The sequence below is a fragment of the Homo sapiens genome, chromosome X (assembly GCF_000001405.40).
Source record: "Homo sapiens chromosome X, GRCh38.p14 Primary Assembly".
Lineage (NCBI taxonomy): Eukaryota > Metazoa > Chordata > Mammalia > Primates > Hominidae > Homo > Homo sapiens.
Genome location: NC_000023.11, coordinates 4,251,927 through 4,259,035, shown reverse-complemented (window position 1 = coordinate 4,259,035; position 7,109 = coordinate 4,251,927). Strand labels below are relative to the sequence as shown.

Genomic DNA, 7,109 nt, shown 5'->3' with positions numbered 1-7,109 from the left:
TCTCTTTAGCATCTCAATCAGACTCTAGAGAGCCTGCAATTACTGTTGTAAAAGTTATTCCCTGCATCTTAGCCCACAGTTCAATGTGGCATCTTTGATTAAAGCGTCCCATCACCATCTAAAGCTATCAAATGGTACTTCAGAACAGTTACTTGAATTTTATATCTGTTTCAACTGAATCCATCCTCTTTCAAATTGTAATCAGGCATAGACTTGGCTGGGGGAAAAGTCATCTTAATGCCCACAATTATGTTGCTGAATGGAAAGCCCAATAATACCTGTGTCTCTGGAGGACATGGCCAGATATTTACTTCGTGGCATAAGCATAGGCATGAAATGCTTTTAGCTTTCATGTAGAGAAGGAGAGCTGATGGGAGAAGCTGAATATTTGCTTCACCTTGTTCCAATTCCTTGAATTCCACAATCATCACAAATGTATGCTTACTCTCCAATTTAAATACACTTTTTTTTCCCCATATGCTAAGCAATGGGTGTTGGACTCGTTTCCTAGGGTGAAAGCATAGGGCCAAATGAAGCTGTATATTCCCCAGGAGTAGTCAGGAAAGAAAAGACTCAGAAATGTTGTTAGGGGTTGAACTGGGTTTCCCAGAAATCTATTTTCCAGTCCTAATGTCACGGGATCTTTGGGGTGTTGCTTCACCAGCCGGAAACCTCTGTGGCCATTGATGCCTTCTACCTGAGTATTGCTCACACCCACTGGCCTCATTCTGCCCACTTGGCCCAGCAGGGTGTGCTCAGTTGGCACTACCAGCCTGGATCCCACACCTGCAAAGGACGAGCCACTAGCACAGTGGCAAGGGGTGTGTGGGAGAGCAAGCACGAGTTCCAGCCACTGCACACAGCTAGCCATGCCAGGGTGGGAAGTTCCAGGCGCTGGCACAGGTGCTGGCTCCATGTGAGGCTGCAGCTACAGCAGATGTACTGTATGAGGCTTCCACTGTAAGCACCCACATCTAGATGAGGATAAGGGGAACTTGGTGGTTCCCAGAAGCTTGGAGGTGCCAGGAACCACAGAGCCCCAAAGAAAGTGTCACAGCCCTGGATCAGGGAACCCCTAGGTCTGGGCTCCCTGAAGAGCTGCAGTTCTTCTCTCTTTCTCGTCACCCACAATGTGGCAAGCAGTGGGGCGTGCTTCAATTCTGTTTGTGTTACAGCTCTTTCAGTCCCACCATTTGGCACATCCTGAGTTCCTGTCCTGCGTCCAGGAAGAATGAGGGACATGAACATGAGCAAAGCAGAGAGGAGCCTCATTGAGTGACAGAACAGATCTCAGGTGACCCAAAGTGATAGCTCCTTTCCACAGGCAAGTTGTCCTGATGAGTGTCCAGCTCTCAGTGGAGAGGAGACTCACAGTGGGCAGCTCCTTCCCACAGCTGGTAGTCTCGGTGTCTCTTCAAGTCTGGCTGAGTCTGGGGTTTTTATGCGCTCAGAAGGGAGAAAGTGCATGCTGATTGGTCCATGGGTGGCCATGGGTGGGCCCAGAAACAGCACTCCACCTGGAACTCCGGTCTACAGACTCCACCTGGAACTGACAGCCTGGACCCCATGCTTCAGGCTGTCTCTGGCTTGAAGGTGGGGCTTCACTGAGGACCCACCCCTTTCCACCCAGGAGCCTGTCTGTGTCCAGCCACTATCAGTCATGTTGTCCCTGGTGCCCAGGCAGTTCATGCCGAAGGGCACATGCAGGCCCACCCTGAGCCACCCTCAGCCCCTTCCTTGGCCTCCCTCTCATGCTCATCGGTGCCCAAAGTTCAGAAGTGGCTGAAGCAGCAAGAGGCTGGCATGTCAGCACTGCCCTGAGCATGCACACACCTGGCCGGTTTGTGACAGTGCCCAGGCTTGGCCTCAACTTTGCTCCAAAATCAGAGTGGATTCCAGGAGTGGGGAGAGGCCAAGCAGTGGGAGCAGGCACTTCTGAGCCTGCAGGGCTACAGGAGACTTCCTGGGCCCCTGAGAGTGCAAGGATGATCAGGTCCACAGCTGCAACTAGGCGGCTGCAGCTGCTCCCAGGAGGGTGGCTCTCCCACCCCACCAACTCGGAGGGAGGAAGGGCTCCCACTTGTTCCTGGCTTCTGCCAGCTCAGTGGAGCATACAGCCCTGGCGGTGCCACCACTGCTGCAGTCAGCATCTTTATAGCGGCCTCTCCAGATGGGCTGCCGCTGCCATCACTAACATGCAATAATTCAGAAAATGACCTTATTTGAAATTAGAGTGGTATGGTTTCACTCTGTGTCCCTGCCCATATCTCATGTTGAATTGTAACCCCCACTGTTGGAAATAGGGCCTGGTGGGAGGTGATTGGATCATGGGGGCAGATTTCTCATAAATGGCTTAGCACCAATCCCCCCCACACCAGTACTGTATAGTGAGTGAGTTCTCATGAGACCTGGTTATTTAGAAGCGTGTGGCACCTCCCTCATCTCTCTCTCTTTGTCCTGCTCGTGCCATGTGAGACGCCTGCTCTCACTTTTGCCTTCCTCCATAAATAAAAGCTCCCTGAGGCCTCCCCAGAAGGAGATGATGTCATGCTTCCTGTACAGCCTGCAGAACCCTGAGACACTTAAACCTCTTTTCTGCTTAAATTACCCAGTCTCAGGTATTTCTTTATAGCAATGTGAAAACGGATTAATACATAGGGGCTTTGCAGATGTAGTCAAGTTAAAGTGAGTTCATACTGGATTAAAGTGGCCAGGCATTGAATGACTGGTGTCTTTATGAGAAAAGGAAAAATTGGATATACAGACACTCAGTAAGTACACCATGCAATGAGGGAGGCAGATACAGGAGAGATCCGGCCACAAGCCAAGGAATGCCAAGAACCACTAGCCATCACCATAAATTGAGAAGGAGGCACAGAACAGTTTCTCCCTTCAAGCTTTCAAAAGGAACCAATCATGCTGTGACACTGATCTTGAATTTCTGGCCTACAGAACTGTGAGAGAGAAAGAAAGAATCTTGTTTAAACCACACTGTTTGAGGTCATTTGTTATGGCAGTTTCAGGAAACTAATAGAGCAGGGATTAGCTTTTCAAAATAGTACCCATTGTCCAAATGTGACTATTGATCCCTTGAAATACAGATAGTGTGACTGAGAAACTAGAGTTTTAAATTTGATTTAATTTTATTTCATGGTAGAATAGTCACTTGTGACTATCGGATGCCATATAGGACAGTCTAGTTCTAAAACAATTATTCAAGTTGGCTGGTAGTATGTTCTCCCAAAGTCAGTGAATCATCTAGTGTTTGTAAATGCCCTTCACATCCATGGATGGTGAGCTGGAAATGCTGTAAACAAACATTTAATAATGTAGATTTATGTGACTGAAAATAAAGTGCTCTTATTTCAGAATCATTGTTCACAGAAAACAAAACAAAGAAACAAAACAATGATGTATGTATGTGTGTTTAAAAGATGAAACATTCTAAAGAGAAAATCATGGAAGCCTTTTTTCTCAGGTGCAGAGTATAGCAATGAAATGGATTGAAATGTCTCGCAGGTAAGAAGTCATAAATATGGGCTCCATAGATGCAGTAACAAACAGCCTAACATTCCTGCCTAACCTGAGTGTTATTAAGAATAAACAGAAAACACAAACATAAATGCCAGGTCTTGTTTTAGAACATTCTGAGGATTGCGATATATATGACCTTGCGTATGTCCCTCCCTGCAATTACCACTCTAGACTTCTGCTGTTTAAATTTCTTCCTTTCATAACTTCTCCCCTCCAAAATCCTCAAAAGTTAGCTAGCCTACTAGCCCTTTTGGAATTATTTCAATTATTTCTAGAAGCAGTTTATAAAAGGCCCTTTCAAGTCTTTAAAATTAGCATGAGAAAATTTAAAGATCTTTGTAAGGCTTAAGTAAGTAATTTAAAAGATGCTTTCATTATGTGTCTAATAGTAAATGTTAACATGAGAACACCTTTGGATTTCTGATGTTTGGATTCATTGTAATGCAGAGTTCACACCAAAACAGATCTGAAAAGTAACCAACACAGCAGGCTTTGATGCAATGAACTATCTAACATAAACAAAATGGAATGTACAATTCTGGTTAAAAAAAAAATAAGACTTCTTTTTTGTAGTTTCATTTATTCTGATTAGGTGTCTAAATCTTTTAACTTAATGGTAAAATGGGTCTACTTCTCTTGATCGAGGGTCAGATCTCCTTGGGGAAGCCATGTCGAACCTCATCTAAGTGTCCATTATTCTTTCAGCTGCTCAGTTTGCAAATGGCTAATGAAATACTGTAGGAAAGGAGGGTTCGACTTTTCAAAATGGTTCAGATACGAGAAAGAAAAACGTTTAATTGATACGTATATAATAAAGGGGGAAAATGAAGAATCAGACACATTTGGGAAGGCAAAAATGTAGGTTCCTTCGGAAGAGACTCACACACACACACACACACACATGCCTTAAGAGAATTTATTTTTTATTTATTTTTATTTTTAATAGGAGAAAAGGCATGCAAATTTATTCAACGTGTATATATGGGAGTTCTCAGAAAAGGAGAATTTATTTACTTATTTATTGTGATAAATGGTTGGTTTCTTGAATAGAAAAAGATTTATAGTGGGCTTGTAGAGAGACCTGAATTAGTACTACAGCAATTTATTCTATCATCGAACCTTTATGAATAATGTATAAAGGGACTCATGGGCAACCTGGAGACTTGTCTTCATTGTCCTAACACAGCTAAAGAAGACAAACCCTAGGAAACTCAAGACACATTAGATTCCACAGCCAGCATCAGATGGGCTTCAACTGCAAGAACTGGAAAACTCTCTCATCTGCATGGGGAGAAAAGGCATTTGAAGACATATGTTGGGACAGTCATCAATATTCTTGAAACTAGTCTGTGTGTGTTAAGTCACGTATCACACTTTAAATGTTATTCTCAGTCCACCCCCATTAAAATGTGTGTTTCCTACCTCAAATCCAATCATCAAAGATAGATGAATGAGAAAAAATGAGAAGGGGGCCGCCACATTTTTACAGTAATAACAGTGGTGATGACAGCCCTTTGAACTTCACATTTATGGACTGAATGCTTTAAAGTTAAAAAATGTTTTTAAAAAACTTCTTGTAAAAAAAAGTTTTTAAAAAATTGTTAAATGTTTTTCTTAAAAAAGCATCTCCATTGAAAGTTTATTGTGAGTTCTACTAAAAAGGGGTGAAATTATTGTCTTTAATTTTTCTCAGAAAGATATGTATATGTGTGTATGTGTGATTTTATAATATATTGATAGCATGGTAATTTTCTTTGTAGACAAGCCTATTTTAAATAAATATATGTATGTATAAACACACACATATACAGCTATATGTAAACAAACCCAAAGATATATAAATTAAATATATAGAAATAGTCTGAATATTTCGTTTCTCCCCTGTTAAGGACACACTTCCTCTGTCTCCCCTGTTAAGAACACATTTCCTCTGTCTCCCCTGAACCCTCAGGGGAACACAATTTTTGTTCCTCCTATGTGCAGGACACACTTCGGGTTTCTCCCTTTTTAAGGACACACTTCTTGTTTCTCCCCTAGGCAGAACACACTGCCTTTGTAGCCCCTGTGGGTAACACACTTGCAGTTTCTCCCCTATGCAACACACATTTTCTCTTCCTCCCCTGTGCTGGACACACTTCCTGTTTATCCCCTGTGCAGGACACACTTCTTGTGTCTCTGTAGTGCAGGAAACACTTCCTCTTTCTTCCTTGAAGAGGCCACACTTCCTGTTCTTCCACTGTTATGGACATACTTTCTGTTTCTCGCATGTGCCTGACACACTTCCTGTTTCTCCCCTCTGCAGGACACACCCTAGGCTTATTCAATAAAGATCAGTTAAGTGGTTTCTCTAACAACGCTAATGTGTTCATTCACTAGTAAATTAAGGACTATTCTTTTGTCTTCCTTCTACTGAATTTGTTGTCAAGGAGTTAAATGGCTATCTCTATTTAGATATCTGAAATCCATTTATAAAGTATATTACTGACTCCACTAGAGAAAGCTGCATAGAGTGACTGAGTTTAGTAAACAAGGGTTTGAAAACTAATCATGTTTCTGTTGAAGGCCAACACAAGGGTAATAAACTTTCAAGCAGAAGGTCTATAACAGATTATCATGGAACCAATGAGCCATCATTTCGCCAGCCTTGGAGGTGAAGGCAATGTTTTCACCACTTATTTAAGCATCGGTTGGTCACTGATAGAAACCAGAAGCCAATTAGAATGACTCAGAGATGAAGTACATCAAAGCTATACTGCTTTCTTGACTGATTCTTCATTTTTATCATGTCCTTGAGTGAGTTCCACAAGGTATGAATTTCCCTTGGCTTCATAAGCAAACTCCAAATTCAAACAGAATTTAGAACAATAGCACTACATGATATATGAAACCAACTAAACCACTTTGGTTAAAGTATAATATCTCCATAACAGCACTTAACTACATTCACTCGGTAAACTCACCATGAAATACTGAACAATAAAGTCCAAAAGTAATCATTGCTTCTGTATTTTATTATAGACAAGCCAGTAATTCTATAAGATAAATTGATTGCAGGATAGGTAAGAGAAAAATTAAAGATAGCAAATATTCTTATCTTTCTTAGTCCAAATGCAACATATCAAACCTAAGGACTTCATGTTCCCGCTGGATTAGACTTATAATCTTGGGCCACTTGCATTGATAGAAGTGGTGATCAGGATTGCATTGTGCCATCAGAACTTCATTTTGGAAACTAAGAAGCTGAGTGGTTTAGAAAAATTATACAACACACCAAAGTTCACTCAACAACTACAGGTAAGAAGAACAATACAAATATGCTTAACCGTATGGTACCATAGTCCATGGAAACTATTATTGTAAAATGCATCTAAACAGGATGACCCTTAAAATCTAGTAAGTACAGCCTTTATTTTGTTCTTCTTAAGGAAAAAAACACACCAAAGAAATCTATATTATTGATCCCTTAGAATAAACTGAAAGCAAATATTTATTTTATTTATTTATTTTGAGATGGAATCTTGCTCTGTTGCCCAGGCTGGAGTACAATGGCATGATCTTGGCTCACTGCAGTCTCC

At 41.6% G+C, this 7,109-nt stretch overlaps 2 annotated features.

Annotated features, from left to right (window-relative positions):
- Nucleotides 1,347–1,846: an enhancer, noted in NCBI's record as "H3K27ac-H3K4me1 hESC enhancer chrX:4175231-4175730 (GRCh37/hg19 assembly coordinates)". NCBI's record gives its function as "activates a minimal SCP1, AML or CMV promoter by ChIP-STARR-seq in naive H9 embryonic stem cells {active_cell/tissue: H9 hESC(naive)}" and the evidence as "EXISTENCE:reporter gene assay evidence [ECO:0000049][PMID:30033119]".
- Nucleotides 1,847–2,348: an enhancer, noted in NCBI's record as "H3K27ac-H3K4me1 hESC enhancer chrX:4174729-4175230 (GRCh37/hg19 assembly coordinates)". NCBI's record gives its function as "activates a minimal SCP1, AML or CMV promoter by ChIP-STARR-seq in naive H9 embryonic stem cells {active_cell/tissue: H9 hESC(naive)}" and the evidence as "EXISTENCE:reporter gene assay evidence [ECO:0000049][PMID:30033119]".